The 18,743-nt window shown below is 39.8% G+C and overlaps 1 long non-coding RNA gene across 2 annotated transcripts in view; it reads right to left on the bottom strand.

Annotated features, from left to right (window-relative positions):
* LINC02284 (long intergenic non-protein coding RNA 2284) overlaps positions 1 to 18,743 on the bottom strand; it is a 116,044-nt gene that overhangs the window by 64,733 nt on the left and 32,568 nt on the right. For both annotated transcript variants that reach the window (NR_187174.1, NR_187175.1), the window contains one exon: positions 17,230 to 17,326. This is a non-coding gene — a long non-coding RNA (long intergenic non-protein coding RNA 2284). The remainder of the gene's footprint in view (positions 1 to 17,229; positions 17,327 to 18,743) is intronic.

The following is an 18,743-nucleotide window of genomic DNA, read 5'->3' as shown; positions in this document are numbered from 1 at the left end:
CCAGTTGAATCCCTGAATAGACCAATAACAAGTTCTGAAATTGAGGCAGAAATTAATAGCCTGCCAACCAAAAAAAGCCCAGGACAAGACGGATTCACAGACAAATTCTACCAGAGGTACAAAGAGGAGCTGGTACCATTCCTTCTGAAACTATTCCAAACAAGAGAAAAAGAGGGACTCCTCCCCAACTCATTTTATGAGGCCAGCATCATTCTGATACCAAAACCTGGCAGAGACAAAACAAAAACAGAAAATTTTAGGCCAATATCCTTGATGAACATTGATGCGAAAATTCTCAATACAGTGCTGGCAAACCAAATCCAGCAGCACATAAAAAAGCTTATCCACCATGATCAAGTCAACTTCATTCCTGGGATGAAAAGCTGGTTCAACATACACAAAATCAATAAACGTAATCCATCACATAAACAGAACCAATGACAAAAACCACATGATTATCTCAATAGATGCAGAAAAGGCCTTCAATAAAATTCAACACCCCTTCATGCTAAAAACACTCAATAAGCTAGGTATTGATGGAACTTATCTCAAAACAATAAGAGCTACTTATGACAAACCCACAGCCAATATCATACTGAATGAGCAAAAGCTGGAAGCATTCCTTTTGAAAACCAGCACAAGACAAGGATGCCCTTTCTCACCAGTCCTATTCAACACAGTATTGGAAGTTCTGGCCAGGGAAATCAGGCAAGATAAAGAAATAAAGGGTATTCAAATAGGAAGAGGGGAAGTCAAATTGTCTCTGTTTGCAGATAATATGATTGCATATTTAGAAAACCCCATTGTCTCAGCCCAAAATCTCCTTGAGCTGACAAGCAACTTCAGCAAAGTCTCAGGATACAAAACCAATGTGCAAAAATCACAAGCATTCCTATACACCAATAATAGACAGAGAGCCAAATCATGAGTGAACTCCCATTCACAATTGCTACAAAGAGAATAAAATACCTAGGAATACAACTAACAAGGGATATAAAGGACCACCTCTTCAAGGAGAACTACGAACCACTGCTCAAGGAAATAAGAGAGGACACAAACAAATGGAAAAACATTCCATGCTCATGGACAGAAAGACGCAATATCATGAAAATGGCCATACTGCTGAAAGTAATTTATAGATTCAATGCTATCCCCATCAAGCTACCTTTGACTTTCTTCACAGAATTAGAAAAAACTACCTTAAATTTCATATGGAACCAAAGAAAGAGCCCAGCTAGCCAAGATAATCCTAAGCAAAAAGAACAAAACTGGAAGCATCATGCTACCTGACTTCAAACTATACTACAAGGCTACAGTAACCAAAACAGCATAGTACTGGTACCAAAACAGATATATAGACCAATGGAACAGAACAGAGGCCTCAGAAATAATGCCACACATCTGCAACTATTTGATCTTTTACAAACCTGATGAAAACAAGTAATGGGAAAGGACTCCCTATTTAATAAATGGTGTTGGGAAAACTGGCTAGCCATATGCAGAAAACTGAAACTAGACCCCCTCTTTACACCTTTTACAAAAATTAACTAAAGATGGATTAAATACTTAAACGTAAGACCTACAGCCATAAAAACCCTAGAAGAAAACCTAGGCAATACCATTCAGGACATATGCATGGGCAAAGACTTCATGACTAAAACACCAAAAGCAATGGCAACAAAAGCCAAAATTGACAAATGGGATGTAATTAAACTAAAGAGCTTTTGCATAGCACAAGAAACTATCATCAGAGTGAACAGGCAACCTACAGAATGGGCGAAAAATTTTACAATCTATCCATCTGACAAAGGGTTAATATCCAGAATCTACAAGGAACTTAAATTTACAAGAAAAAACAACCCCATCAAAAAGTGGACAAAGGATATGAACAGACACTTCTCAAAAGAAGACATTTATGTGGCCAACTAATGTATGAAAAAAAGCTCATCATCTCTGGTCACTAGAGAAATGCACATCAAAACCACAATGAGATACCATCACACACCAGTTAGAATGGCGATCATTAAAAAGTCAGGAAACAACAGATGCTAGAGAGGATGTGGAGAAATAGGAATGCTTTTACACTGTTGGTGGGAGTGTAAATTAGTTCAACCTTTGTGGAGGACAGTGGCGATTCCTCAAGGATCTAGAACCAGCAATACCATTTGGCCCAGCAATCCATTTATTGGTTATATACCCAAAGGAGTATAAATCATTCTACTATAAAGACACATGCACATGTATGTTTATTGCAGCACTATTCACAATAACAAAGACTTGGAACCAACCCAAATGCCCATCAGTGATAGACTGGATAAAGAAAATGTGGCACATATACACCATGGAATAATATGCAGCCATAAAAAATGATTAGTTCATGTCCTTTGCAAGGACATGGATGAAGCTGGAAACCATAATTCTCAGCAAACTAACACAGGAGCAGAAAACCAAACACCACATGTTCTCGCTCATAAGTGGGAATTGAACAATGAGAACACATGGACACAGGGAGGAGAACATCACACACCGGGGCCTGTCAGGGGCTGGGGGGCTAGGGGAGCGATAGCATTAGGAGAAATACCTAATGTAGGTGACAGGTTTATGGGTGCAGCACACAACCATGGCACATGTATACCTATGTGTAACAAAGCTGCACATTCTGCATATGTATCCCAGAACTTAAAGTATAATAATAATAAAAAAGAAAGCAGGTTTACTTAGAGAGAAACTATGCTGCAAGGAAGCAACAGGCAGCATGGCAGAGAAGGGACTGTCTGCCAAGAGGCAGGGGCTGGAGGGAAATTTTACAGGGTGTTGCTGCTGGGGCTATGTGCAGGAGCAGGATGTGTCAGTAGGTTGTTTGTGGTTAGCCATCTCTCAGAACAGTTGCTGACAATCTCCACCTGGGGCCCCTTCCTTGACGCTGCTTACTTATCAGGACTCCAGGGTGCCTTGGCTCTGAGACTGGACCACATGGGTTATAGCTTAATGGGGTCATAAGTCTAACTTTGTAAGACTTTATCAGGTTCCAAATACTGACAAACTAATCTTAGTTATTTGAATCTCCGAGCCCGTTTTCTCATTTGTAAAATGGAGAAAATAGATAGGATTGACATTTCTGAATTATGTTCTATAGAAACGTAATAAACATTATCTAGAAAAGTTATCCTAAGTAAAAATTTGAAAACAATGGGTTTAACATATTTAGACTAGCCTGTTACCGCAAGGGGGTCTGAGAGAAGCCTTTGAAATTTAGCCAATGTGACTTGGGAATTTCGGTTAATGTTCTCCAGACTTGCTTGACTGTGGGACGCTTTTTCTATAACATCTCTCTGCTCAGTGTGTTTCAGATTATACTTTGGATAAATGCTGGACTAGATATTCTTTGTTTTTTCCTCCCTAATTCTAAAATACATGATGTTATGAAAAATCATGTCCATCAATGTAAGACATCATATAATTGATCAGTTAAGAAAATCCATTTCCCAAGAAGAAAAGGGTCCCAAGAAGAGGGATTGGTGTTTCCTAAGTTATTAAGCTTGATGAAGAATATGGCAGAAAAAAGGGCCTGGAAGGACAAGGAGGCAGGAAGCGCTATGGAGGACTCTGTCAGGAGGAAAGTCAATAACTCTTCCAGGGTTTTCAAATTTACTTACATTTGGAGTGGCCAGAATGCTTCTGTGTGTGTTATTTTTTACCTTAGTTGTGAGCATAGGGGACCTGTATGTCTTCTTGGGGTGGCTGTTATCAGAGAAAGGAAGACTGTGTCTGATAGATTCAGAAGTTCTGCCACCAAGACGTTCACCCACAGAATAACACATGATGAGCAATGAATGAGACATCATTTAACATACTGCAGAAGCAGCACAGAGGATTGAAAGCTCTCCAAACAGAGAGGTGAAGCCCCATGCCTTCTCTCTGGAGGCAGCTGGGGGTACCTTCTTCACGCCTTGAAAATCCACCACAGGTATGTGGAGATCCAAGAATATCAGTAATTTCTAGAGACCAGAAAGAAAACTTTACAGGATGACCAATGTAAACTGATTGTAGTGGCATTTAGTGACATTTATTTCCTGTGAGCCACAAGAGCTCCATATTGGCAGATCTACACAACTGGAGTTATACAGAGAAACAAAAGCAAATCAAGGCAGAAGCTGACATGCAATTCCTACTGGAGTTTCTTCCCTTCTTTAGCGGTTGGTTAGTGGACACCCTACAGGAAAAGAGGAGCCACAGCCAGGATGGCTGTCATGGAGTAATTTTCACCTACTGAAGTATTAATACTTCTTATCTAAAGTAATTTTTTTTTTTGAGACCGAGTCTTGCTCTGTCACCCACGCTGGAGTACAGTGGCGTGATCTTGGCTCACCACAACCTCTGCCTCACGGGTTCAAGCGATTCTCCTGCCTCAGCCTCTCAAGTAGCTACAATTGTACTATATAGTTTCTCACTTATAAAATCTGGCCAGATAATCAGACACAATTACACTCTTCATTTGCTCGGTGGAGAGACCGCTTTTCTAGCATGCGGAGGGCCTCACTGAGCCTAACAGCACATCAGATACGGGCCACCCTCATGTGCTGCCTTGCACACACATATCCTTAAAGCGGGTCAGCAATTCCATAACAACATTAAAACAGCAACTGGGGAAGCAGAGCCCCACGGCTGAGAGGCACCCAACCAGATTGCAGTGCTATTTTTATCCCTCGAGCTGAGCGTATTGATGGAATGGAGAATTACTTTTGTGATTAAACGTGGCCAAAAACCTAGCAAGTGTTAATCTCTGGAAATCTGTTACAAATGGGATGGCAAGCACCAGCAAACTGCTGTTTTTTAAATCTAAAAATAGTTCTTGGTTCTCTTGTAAGTAATGCAGCAGGAAGACAAGAAATTTTAATCGGTCAGAGTGGTTTGGTTTTTACAGTCAATTCCTGAATATAATAGCAGGGATGGGTCTCTGGAGCCCCAAGTGAGAGGAGTCAGGTGCTGAGAGGATGGGCAGAGGCCCTGGAGAGTCTGCATTTACATCTCTTAGCTGTTCTGGCCTAGATAACACAGCTCTAGAACCAGAAATACTCCAACTCAACGTTTTGGGGGCATTTATGTGATTGCGCTGGGAGTAGGGTCATACATGGGCAAAATCAGGGTGGCGGATTCACTGACTGGGTACCGGTTTGAACCAGTGATGAATGCATTGGCCATATAAAGTTAGTATTGGCTCCATTTCCTCTAGCTGTGTCCCTTTGGAAATCTGGTCCTTTTTGTTCGGTCATGGAAGTGGAGTTTCCAGTTGGGGTTCATGAGGAGGTGGCTGGTGCCAAACCAGCTAAGGCATAGCAGCTCCGGACCCAGTGGTACAGCACGATTCTTCAGTCATACAAACCCAGCCCTTCACGAACACTTTTCAGAACACTCCCTCCAGGGCTCAGTCCCACATTGTCTAGTATTCATTCCCCGCCCCCTTTAAGGAGCCCAGCTACACTTTGGCTCAGCTTCCTCTTGCTTGGGTGGAGACCCTAGACCCTTTCATTTCCAGTGATGTTCTTAACTCCTCCCGCTTTTAACCTCACCCAGTGTGCCTGTTCCATATTCCAGGGCCTCTGTCCTATTTCCCCATCACACTCCAGTTCTGTGTCTGTGGCAGCCTCATGGGCTGGGGCAGAAACTTTGCCAGACTCCTCTCCCTGTAGCTTGCCCTGATCTCCTCTTTCCATCTCCCAACAGAAATCCTGCTTCAATCTGCATAGTCTCCTGAGACCTAAGGATGAGAACCTTCACTAGCTAGACCCTTTTGATGCCAGCCCCACCCTATCAGATCATGCTTGTGAGAAAGCATTATCTTTCCAGGATAGCACAGTGGTTAAAAGCATGGGATAGACATTTATCCTGTCTTTTCTGTATTGAATGTATTTTAGGATGTCTAACTAGTTGACAAGGGTAAGTTCTTCTTATGGAATTCTAGCTAATAAATGCATAAAGAATAGTGGAATTAGAAAATTCACACTTTGGAACACCCGGTAAAACAAGGGGTCTATTCTAGGCAATGATCAGTGACTGCTCAAAGCATTAGGTAAAATTGTGATGGGGAATTTTATAAAGGATGGATCAACTTGACAACCTGATTTGACTAATCCACCTTAAAGGCATTAATGGAAAGACAGCCAGATATTATGAGCCTTCTAAAGGGATTCAATGGAAATTTCATAGCCCTGCCATGAGGTAACCTTTTAAAAACTTAAATCTGAATCTAATCAAGTCTTCAGATGCAAATATTAGTTTACAAACTTATGGGGGATAGAGGAATATGTTAAATGACATTGTGTGGACTCAGACAAATAGAGATTGTGAGATTCTGCCACAGGATACATAAGCCAGTATTCAATAAAAAATGGCATTTAAAAAGGAAGAGTTACCTGTTATAAATATTTTTAAAAATCAAGACTGTACCAACCAAAAGAAACACAAAGCTGAAAGTGCTTTGTAAATGGCCAAGTTGTTAAACATTAGCTATTATTATTATAATGATTGCTCTATATCGTAGTCCCAGATCCTTAAGTCTAAGATATTCATTGTTAAGATAAGCTTCAGAAACTATCCACTTGATTTTCTAAACCTTGTGTCTCGAACATTTAAAGAAGCGTAGACACAGGATGTGAGGAAAACACAATTTTCTAATGAATACGAGGAAGCTATGACAAACAGCATAAATCATCAAGCAATGGCAAAACTGAAAGTCTAATCAGACATCAGTATCTTATTCTTAAACCTTCATACACTTTTTAGAAACCTTCTGATTGCAGGAAGCTTTGGCATGTTCACTTAAACATACTCATGTACTCACTTTAAACAGTATGATAATATTTCTATATGCACATATATACATTGACAACACTTGCTATTTGTTTATGTGTATATATATATACACATATATATACGTGTATGTATGTATGTGTGTGTATGTATATATATGTATATATATGTGTATATATGTATATATATGTATATATGTATATATATGTATATATGTATATATGTGTATATATGTATATATATGTATATATGTATATATATGTATATATATGTATATATGTATATATATGTATATATATGTATATATGTATATATATGTATATATGTATATATATGTATATATATATGTATATACCTTGTAGCCATGAATAAATAATCCTTTTAATTTTTCTCTCCCCCAGGTAAAATCTTATAAAGTAAAACATTGACTATTGGACACTCATGCGAAATAAATTCATCTGGATACATGAGGAATTCCAAATTAATCAAAATTTGACCTTTACAATTATCGGTTTTAGGTTTCGCTTTTCTGGATGGTAACCTTTCTGAAATGTGCTTCTCTCTTCTCTGCATCTTAAAAGAAGAATATCAAACACTTCCTTGACCTGAGGCTTGTCATTATGAACATGGTAATACAAGGGTGTAATATATACACCTTTGGAGTTCATTGAAGGTATTTAAGGTGTTGACTATTTTCCAATCCATGAAGTGACCTCAGCTGACTGTTCTTTGAATCCTTTTTTGCTGTTGTTTCATGAAATCAATAGCTTATTTTTTCTATTGTTCAGCAGTATTTCATCTTATGGATATACCACAATTCATTTATCAATATTTAAAAAATGTGTATATGCTACAAATATACAATTCGTTGCTAATATTTTTTGCTTTAGACTAGGGGTTAGAAAAAGATGGCCTGCCCCTCTACAAGTCACGACCAACTACTGCCTGATTTTGCATGGCTCATGAGCTTCAGAATAGCTTTTACATTTATCAACAGTTAAAAAATCAGAAACAGAATAAACACCCCTATGTAATACATCCATGTAACGAAATTTCACTTATACTCCCTAAATCAATTCGTTTAAAAAGTAGAATACATTGTGGCACATAAAAATTATATGAATTCTTATTTCTACATTTTACCGTTTTTCTTTCTACTCCCTTTGTTTCAGCTTGCCTCTGCAGTAGCTACTTGGTCATCCCTTCTAACTGCTGCTCCCAATCTGTTTTATTACCAGATAATCAAGCTCATTGATTTGCGGGCAAAATAAGAGTAAAGAGGCTCTGCTGAACACCAAAAGATTCTTTTGTAGGTAAAGAGCATGACCTTTAGTACCTGGGCTTTGTGAACAGTATTTTGCTGCTAAGAGGTGTTTTCTGTTGCCTTTCAGATTCTTAGTTATGTTTCACATAAGTGAATGAGGCTGCTAAAAAAATGATGGTTCAGAAATACAAGATAAAAAATGTATCCTTGCAGTGTACTTGAGTTGAGGCTTCCATTAACTCCTTTTAGGGAAAAAGAATTTAGTGCCATGAAAAACTGAATCTTGCTTTTCTTAAATTCAGAATGAACCTCTGTACCATCATTATGCTGAGACCCCAAGCTCTGATTACAAATTACTCTTTTAAAGCAAAAATAACAAATTTAATATCCCCCTCAGATCCTATTTGAATAAATTTACTGTATATACTGGACCCCTGGAAAGTGGAAGGTTACAAAGACTATATGTACAGTTCCTTTACATACAAATTCCTGGCAGTACTATGAGCATTTAATACTCACAAATGATTTTCTGATTAAAGAGAATTTTTTTTTTCAGCCCAATTGGAGCAACACTTGGTTACAGTTAGGTTAGACCTGTGATTTTTATGAAATGCCTGGTTAAAGTGTATTGTTCTAACTCTCTCACCTGTATGAACCTCACCCCCTCAATCTCTCCCTTCCTTTTTGCATGAATCAACACAGGTCCCTAATATGACACCATATAATGTCCCCAGCCCCAGCCTCTTTCATTTAGATCTTGGGTAACCTCAGCTTATTCAGATTAGATAAATAGTAAGTGCTTGGAGATAACAACCAGAACTCTTCAGGTCCTCTCCATAATACCCACTAGTGATTTCTGTAATATCAGAGTTTAGTGCTTTTCCCAATTACAATAGGCTTACCTTGCTCCTTGCAATTTGAAGTGAAATGTCTGTGATTTCAGTATGTGCATAGAGCAATGGACGTGTGGCTTAAGAGCACAAGCTACGTAATCCTAGGCTTTTCTGAGGATTCAGCAGCCTAAATGCATAGAGAATCATGAGAGCATTACTGCAGGAACAGAGCATTTCCATCTAAAATGAAATGTCCATTAGCACATCCTCACAGCACTCTCCACAAGGCTGGGAAATCACAGGAGGAAGCTGAGCTGATTTGATGAGACTAAAATCCCTTTTAATTATGATGAATAACCTAGCTGCTGTTATTATTTGAGCCAAACAAATGTATAATTGCCACTATTCAGAAGTTCTTTCTCTTAAAATGACAAATATCTTTATGACAACAAACTGTTCCTGAGATGGAAAAACAAAAATTCTCAAAATATATCTTCTGCATCGTTGGTTTGCTTCTGAGATACTCTGCTTTTATTCACATTTTAATAAAGTATCAGTGGTGGTGGGTTACAGGAGTAGGAAATAGTAAAGTTTTCTGTTTTCAGGATCAGGAATATTCCCATTATTTTCATTTTGAAAACAATTTGCAGGCTCCCAGTTACCTGTTCTGGGAATCACAAAAAGTTAACTGAATTTGCTGTAAAAATTTACAGAAAATTAGAACTGGTAGAATTGTTTGAGGGATTAGTGTTATCTCATTCAGAGTGCCTTGGTTAATGAGCTCAAGGCAAAAGTTCAACCCCAGTTGCCATAGTCCTGACCCACTTATCCTAAAAACATAGGTAAGGCTGGTGGACCAGTCTTACAAGTACCCTTGTATATTAAAGGCTAACCAGTCTACATTTGCATGAGCCAACTTTAGATGGAGAACAAGAGACAATAAAGCATAGTGGTTAAGTGCACTGGACTTAAAATCTAATAAACCTAGATTCAAATCCAGCTCCACCACTAAATAGTTGGTTCATTTTTGGCATGGTACTTATTCTCTTTGAGCCTTATTTGCTTCATCTATAAATTGGAGGTGGTAATAGTACACGTAAGTTTAAGGCTAAATAAGCATTCTAGGTATTTTAAGCAGAAAGGGATTTAATACAGGGAAGTGGTGTTTAAAAACTTGTTGGAAAGACTGGAGTAGTGCAAGTCAGGGGAGCCACCAATAGGCCATATACTTCAATGGCATATCGTCATTACTGAATTCCATAGGCCCTGAAGCTGCTGTTGCTGCAGCCACAGCTACCTCTTCTTCCCACAAAGCTGGTGACTAACACCGTATTGTGGAATTCTCTGTAGCAAACACTCACATTCCTCTGACCTTACTTGCTAGCAAGGATGTAGCCACGACCTCACTTTTATCTTCCAAATCTTGGGCCATTGCCTCTTACAGGTAGCATCCAGAACTCCAGCTTTAAGGGAATCTAGTTTTTATAACAGATTTCCAACACCAGCAATGTAGGAATGTGCACGGAAAGAGATGTGACTGAATACTAGATGGCAACAGACAATATCACACATGACACCTACCTCCTTGACTCGCTGTAAGGATTATATGAGATTATTTGGGTAAAACACTTAGCACAGTGTCTGGAATATAGTAAGCACTCAATATTTATATGGTTATTTACATAGTTGTTATGTTACTGAAACTATGGCATCCCTCGTGCATTAAATGCAACTTACTCACACAGTTCTCCTCGGGCAGCCGGATCTCTCCCTCCTTGAACAACTTTTTCAACATTAATTCCTATATGTCTAAGGCCCTGTATCAAGGCCATCTCATTTTCCCTTTGCTCCCAATCTTCCCCAGGCTTTTCTCAATTCCAAGTTTTATCCCATCTTTATCTCTCCACATACCATTACCCGGCAAAATGTATCTCTTATAAATTCTTAGCAGTTAAGCAAACAAACAAACAAAAAATGATTTTTTTTTCTTTGAGGGCAAAGAGGGCTTCATCTTCAAACATTCCCAGGGCAAGAGGAAGTATTTACCTTCCATCTACCTAAAGCAGAAAAGAAAAGGGAGAAGGCTGGGCATGGCAGCTCATACCTGTAATCCTAGCACTTTGGGTGGCCAAGGTAGGTGGATTGCTTGAGCGCAAGAGTTCGAGACCAACCTGGGCAATATGGTGAAACCCCATCTCTACACAAAATAAAAAATTAGCTCGATGTGGTAACGCACACCTGTAGTCCCAGCTACTTGGGAGGCTGAGATGGGAAAATCACCTGAGCCCAGGAGTAGAGGCTACAGCAGTGAGTGATGATGATCACACCACTGCACTCCAGCCTAGGCGATGGAGTGAGACCCTATCTCAAAAAATAAAGAAGAAATAAATAAAAGGGAGAAAAAAATACTTATTCCAATTGAAGCAGGCTAAAAGGTCCTATCCTGATAAGTAGTTACATATAGTCAGGTCTCAAGTAGGAAATATTTCTAAGATTCTGAAGTCAGAAGTGTAACTATGTTCCCCCCAATCTAAGATGTTAAAAGCCCCAAGATCATTAAGAGTTTAGGTGACATCTCCCAATTCAAGATGGAAAATTGAGCATATAGAGTTACTGCTTGCTTTCACAAAATTCTATCAAAGAGGTAGCAAAATTTAACAGAAAAGAAAAGCTGTGGTAGTATTAAAAACAGTGTGCTGCCACGGTCTGAATGTGTCTCCCCAAAATTCATAGGTTGAAACTTAATCCCCAATGTGACAGTATTAAGAGTTGGGGCCTTTAGGAGGTGATTAAGTCATGAGGGCAGACCCCTCATGAATGGCATTGGTCACCTTATAAAACAGGCATGAGGGAGCTGTTCACCCTTTCTGCCTCCTTCCACTATGGGAAGACACAGAGGGCAGCATCTTTGATAAACATCTATTCACCACACATTGAGTCTGCTTGTGCCTTGGACTTCTCAGGATCCAGAACTGTGAGAAATAAATTTCTGTTTATAAATTACCCCATCCATGGTATTCTGTTACAGTAGCCCAGACAAACTAAGACACATGCCATTAGCAACTCAGAGATTTTTGATGAATTTCCTGAGGAGAAAGAAATCAGGAATCGGGTAGATAGATAAACTGGAGCTGCAGAGAAGAGATTTGGGATATTTACAGAAAGAAGCCTTGGCAGGGAAGAGAGTTATTCTCCTGGCAGTCTCTGAACTAGGAGAGCCAAGTCAGGGAATGTTCTTTCTACTTCTTGGCATCTGTCCTCCTCCTCCTCCTCCCCACCTGGCCAAAATAAAGACCTGCAGGAAGGAATAGTAAATAGAATGGGAGTTCTGCTTGGAAAGGGATCACTGAAAGGAGCAGAGCAGATCTTGAGGGAACTCCAGAGAAAGAAAAAGAAAGGAAGCACTACCTAGAGGGAAGTACAGTGAAGAACTTCCCACACCACTAACACAAGAGTAAATATGCTTTATCCTGGCAATTGTGGAGGTGTTCTCTACTTATGCCCCCTAAAAGAAGGCCATACATTGACACAATCTCTTCACTTCCATGGAAGCCAGAGTCAGCCCAGTGACTTGCGTGAGAAGCCAGAGAACAGATAAAGAGAGGATCCCTATATCCTAACATTGCCCTTCGCACATAAATGTGAACAGTTAACAAAGATTATTAGACATTTGAGGAAAACCAAGAACATGGATTAACAGGAAATATTAAGATTTGTAAAAGGCAGAACATTTATTCTGAAGAAAAGAGATCCTATCAGATACAGAAAAAAGTTTGAAAATTCAAGTTAGTACGCTTCTTAGTGTTGAGAGAATTCTGCCTCCATAAAACAAGAACATGCTGCTATGAAAAAGGAGCAATGATAGAATAAGAAATATTCTTAGAAATTAAGAATATCTTACTAAAATAAAACAGTGTATTAGAAAGTTTAGAAGGATATCACCCAGAACATAGTAAATATACAAAGAAATATAAAATATGAGGGAAAACATGAAAACATGATGTTAATCTAGGAACTTCAACACTATTAATGAGAGTTTAAGAATGATGCAACAGAAAAAAATTAGGAGTGATAATTATTTAAAAACTAAGGCAAAAAAATTTCCCTGAGTTGAAGGTTTTTGAGAATTTTATACTAGCTGAAACACTACCAGATTACACTGAAAGGGGGCAGAAAGAGGATGAAATGCAAGAAGGTTGTCAGATTCTCAGGATTCTACAGGCAGGGAACAGGATGATTAAACTACTCAGCTGCAAACTCTACTACCCTTTTATGAAAAAGGAAGAATGACTCAGAAGGTGGAGCTGAGGGTCCAGAAAGTGGAACCTGGAGCCCCATAGGATTATGTGCAGGCCTTAAAACCTAATGGAGTTTGCCCTGTTGGATTTTGAAATTGCTTGGACAGGTAATTTCTTCCTTCCCCTTTCTCCCTTTTAAATGAGAATGTCTATAACTGTTATTCTATACTTGTCCCACTACTAATTTTGGGAAGAGATAACTTGTTTCTTGAGTTTTACAGGTTCACAGATGGAGATGAACTTCGCCACAAGAAGGGTCATGCTCAGAGTCTCACTCATACCTGATTTAGATGACTTAGATGAAATTGAGGGGCTTTTAGGCTGATGAGACTTGATTTTAGACTTTTAGTTGATGCTGTAATGGGTTGAGAATTTTGAAGATATTAGGATGGGGTGTATGTATTTTTCATGTGGGTTGGATATGAATTTAGGAGGCCAAAGACTGACTGTGCTAGACAGAATAATGGCTCCCCAAAAAAGTTCACATCCTTACCCCTATAATTTACCTTACATGGTAAAGGGATTTAGAAGATTAAGCAAGGATCTTGAGATGGGGATATTACCCTGGATTATCCAGTAATCTAATCACAAGGGTCTCTATAAGAAGGAAGTAGAAAGGTCAGAGAAAAAAGGCAATGTGATAACAGAGTCGGTAAGAGAGAGACTTGAAGAGGCTATGCTGCTGGCTTTGAAGGTGGAGGAAAGGGCCACAAGCTGAGAAATGCAGGCAGCCTTTAGAAGCCAGAAACAGCAATGAAATGGATTCTTCCAAAAAGCCTTAAGAAGACACGGAGCACTGTTGACTCATTTTGGACTTCTCACTTCCACAGCTGCAGGATAATAAATGTGTGTTATCTTAAGCCATTAAATTTGAGGTTGTTATAGCAGCAATAGGAAACTAATAAAGAGACCAAAATCTTCAAAAATAACCTACTCAATATCAGGCCAGATAAGTGGAGGTCAGTCAAGGCTGGGAGAAGGAGGGAGATCACTGAAATACATCACTGCAATATTTTAAAAATTAAGGAGAGTAACTAGACCCTGAACTTTTTGAAAAAAAATTATTTTAGACAGAGTCTCACTCTGTCACCTAGGCTGGAGTGCAATAGCACTATCTTGGCTCACTGCAACCTCCACCTCCAGGTTCAGGCAATTCTCCCACCTCAGCCTCCTGAGTAGCTGGGACTACAAGCATGTGCCACCATGCCTAGCTATTTTTTTGTATTTTTAGTAGAGATGGGGTTTCACCACATTGGCCAGGCTGGTCTCGAACTCCTGACCTCAAGTGATCCACCCACCTTGGCCTCTCAAAGTGCTGGGATTACAGGGGTGAGCCACTAGGCCTGGCCTAGACCCTAAACTTAAAGGGTAGTGGGACAGAATATGGAAAAAGTAAGTTTCAGCAACATTAAATACTAATAGACAATGGAGCAATTCCTTCAGAAGTCTGAGATAAATTTATCTTGCTTTTAATCTATAATGCTATACATAGTCAAACTCTTAGTTCACCCTGAGGACAGAACAAAGATATTTTCAGACATGTAAAGATACAGAAAACTCACCCTCCTATACCTCTCTTGTATCATCATTTTTTTTTAGGGAGTTATTTAAGGATATGCTCCAGTACACAAGGATGTAAAGCAAGAAAAAGGTAGATATAGGATCCAGAAAACAGTGGCTTCAATTCAGGAAAGTAGCTCAGAGAAGTTCCAGGATAAGAAAGAGCTGGGCAGGTGGCTTTGGGGAGCAGCCAGAACAGGTAATGTTCTAGAGGGAGAGGACTAGCATTGGGGGGAGGAAGGGATTCCGTGAACTATATACGATTACAAAGAAATTGGAAGTCCCTTATACTGTGAAAAGGGCACAGAATAGAGGAATAGGGATGATAAGGAAAAAAAAAAAAAAAAGAAAAAGCATTTAAAGGTTTTAGGATACATTAAAGGTGATACGAATTATGGCCCAAATGAAAGTAACCTGGAAGTCAGTGAGCTTCAGAAAAAATAAAATTGATTCCAAGCAAGAGAGAGCCCAAAGAAGAAGAAGCTGGAAGATAACAGAAATACAATGATGAGTGAATATTATTCTTTTTCCAGCAACTGAAAAAGAAGGTAATAGGAAACTCCCGAACAAGACAATAGCCACCTATAAGAAAGGTATGGTTCAATTACGAAGCAAAGGTTGCTATGACATGATGGATGGTGACCAACTGGTAAACTGTAAGAAAGAAAAATCAATTTTATTTTTAAATCAACTTTCCTTTTAAGTCATGACATTGGAGTCAGAGAGAAAAAAATGTAATCATTTCTTCTTGGCTCTAATGGAAAAATTTATATAACATAAACTGTAAATCATTTTTTTTTTCTTTTTTGAGACTGAGTCTTGCTCTGTCGCCCAGGCTGGAGTGTAGTGGCACAATCTCGGCTCACTGCCAGCTCCACCTCCTGGGTTCACGCCATTCTCCAGCCTCAGCCTCCCAAGTAGCTGGGACCACAGGCGCCTGCCACCACATCGGGCTAATTTTTTGTATTTTTAGTAGTGACAGGGTTTCACCACGTTAGCCAGGATGGTCTCGATCTCCTGACCTTGTGATCCGCCCGCCTCAGCCTCCCAAAGTGCTGGGATTACAGGTGTGCACCACCACGCCCGGCCAACTGTAAATACTTTTAACTCGTTTTCATTTTTTAAAAATGAACCTATGGAGAAAGTGTGAAAGACAACTATGGCTTCAGAACAAAAAGTGTTACCAAGATTACTGTTTCCTCCCTACCAAATGAAATCAGTAATCAGTGGACATAATCAGCTTGGGTTTCGGGGTTATATTGCATGAAAAATAACTTTTCTATAAACATTAGAATTACACTTAATTCAGAACAGTTGTTCTCAGACTTAAGCTTGCATCAGAATCACCTGGAGGGCTTGTTCAATCGGATTGCTGGTCTCACCCCAGAGTTTCTGGTTCAGTGGGTCCGGGGTGGGGCCCAAGAATTTGCTTAAGTTTTCAGGTGATACTGGTCGAGTGTCCCTTATCCAAAAAGCCTGGGAACACTTGAGTTTCAGATTTTTTATTTTTTTTTTGGAATTTGGAATATTTGCATATATTATATACATAATGAAGATATCTTGGGGATGGGACCCAAGTCTAAACACACATACACACACACACACACACACACACACACACACACCCCTTATACACATAGCTTACATTTAATTTTATATAATACTTTAAATAATTTTGTGTATGAAACAACGTTTGTGTACGTTGAACCATCAGAAAGCAAAGGTGTCACTATCTCAGCCACCCATGTGGAAAATCTGGTATTTAGCATCACCATCATCTCTGACTCTGAATTTATATGCTACTGATAAGCATTTTCAAAAAGTTTTGGATTTTTGAAGCATTTTGGATTTTGGATTTTCAGATTAGGGATGCTCAACCTGTACTAATTTGAGGGAGATACTCACAAATATGAGGCAGGGTGGTGGTGGTGAATGAGACCAAATGAGCACTGATCATACCTCCCATCCCAGCTCACTTATTGGGCAAAATGCAGGTGCAGCTGAAATCATCATTCACACTATTTAAGAGTTCTGCCTCCCCCACACCCCCTCGGCCTGTCTTCCTCCTGCCCCCGTTTTCTCTCTCACTTCTTCCTCATACCCACTTTCTTCTTTTCTGGCCAGATGAAGTTAGCTAATACGTATGAGCTAAGTGCACACATATTGCAACTGCACTCTATCTTCATATTATAAAGCGAGGAGACAAGATAATTTACCTATCACTAATAGGATTAAAAATAAGAAGTTTAGTCATATTATTTGTAGTGAAAAAAGTAACATAGAGAGGACTTTACAAGAGCAATGTAACTGTGTTGTGAGAAAGAAAGGGAGTAATGTAAGTGAACTAAGAACTCATCTGTCATAGGAGGAAGAGTCAGCAGCTGTATTAGTCCATTTTCACACTGCTGTAAAGAAATACCCAAGGCTGTGTAATTTATAAAGGAAAGATGTTTAATTGACTCACGGTTCCGCATGGCTGGGAAGGCCTCAGGAAACTCACAATCATGGTGGAAGGTGAAGAGGAAGTAAGGATCTTCTCCACATGGTATCAGGAGAGAGAACTGCAAGCAGGGGAAATGCCAGACGCTTATAAAACCATCAGATCTCGTGAGAACTCACTATCAAAAGAAGAGCATGGGGGAAACTGCCCCCGTGGTCCAATCACCTCTCTCCCTTGACACATGGGGATTACAGGTCCCTTCCTCAACATGTGGGTATTACAATTCCAGATGAGATTTGGGTGGGGATACACAGCCAAACCATACCAGCAGCATACACTTAATATTTGCAGACATGGAGGAAACCACTGGAAGAACCAGAATCTGGAATATTAAAGAGGGAGCTCAGGGCTGGGCAGAGGTGAGGTAAAGATCGAGTCTTTAAGTAACTGCCCTGGGCAGCAGCACTAGCGGGCCCAGGGATAGAACAAGGTGGAGGAAGCCTTGTTTTTCATATTGTAAACTTCAGTCCCTTGTGAATTCATTTTGTAATGCTATTACTTCTATAATAACCAGATAAACACATGTTTTTCAATTTTTATTTTTAAATAAGTCAGTTGAGATGAACCCAGTGATGTGAGCTTTTATTCCTAGGACCCTGAAGGGCGGAAACAATGACTCGCCAAGGGCTGATAACGGCACTTTTGCTGCTTTCCCAGTGGAAGCCCCAATCACCAGGTCCTGTTCACTTGACCTCTTGTTTCTCAAATTGGAGGAAAGGCCCCCTTCACACATACACCCATTCACCTGCATCCAAGTGAAGCAGCTCATGCCTTCAATCTTGGATGGCCTGACATGTAAAAGGCTCCTTGCCTTTCTGAACACCCCCAGAAGTAGACTTCTGCAGAGATAAGTAGACTTCTTGCAGAGATAAGACTGGGAGATACCTGAGAAAAATTACCCTGCATCCCAGTTCATTATGACCCTGTGGCTCATAACAAGATTCGGGCACTTTAATTCCTTTACTGGATTGTAAATTTCCTGACCATTAAGTTACATGATTAATCCTCATTTACCCCCAGTTCTCAACTTCAAAAAGAAATTAAGCCCCAGAGATGTTGTATGGGTATCCAAAATGCATTACAGATTTCCAAACAAACAAGATTAACGCCAACCCAGCAATGCTGACTCCCAGGCCTACATTTGTCTTAATGACTGTTATTCCTCAAGGCAGTAATGAGTCTTGCCACTGGGTGCTAGACTGTTGGCCACCTGAACCTCATACTTATTGCAACCTGCAGTTAAGGCCTTGGCATTCATTCAAGCCCCAGCCTTGAATCATCTGTTTGAAATTCAGACCTGGGCCGGGCACGGTGGCTTACACCTGGAATCCCAGCACTTTGGGAGGCTGAGGCGGGTGGATCACTTGAGGTCAGGCGTTTGAGACCAGCCTGGCCAACATAGCAAAACCCCATCTCTACTAAAAATACAAAGGTTAGCTGGGCATGGTGGCACGTGCCTATAGTCCCAGCTACTTGGG

This window comes from Homo sapiens, chromosome 14, assembly GCF_000001405.40.
Source record: "Homo sapiens chromosome 14, GRCh38.p14 Primary Assembly".
Taxonomy (NCBI): domain Eukaryota; kingdom Metazoa; phylum Chordata; class Mammalia; order Primates; family Hominidae; genus Homo; species Homo sapiens.
Note: the sequence above shows the minus strand (reverse complement) of the source record. Positions and strands in the feature narration are given on the sequence as shown.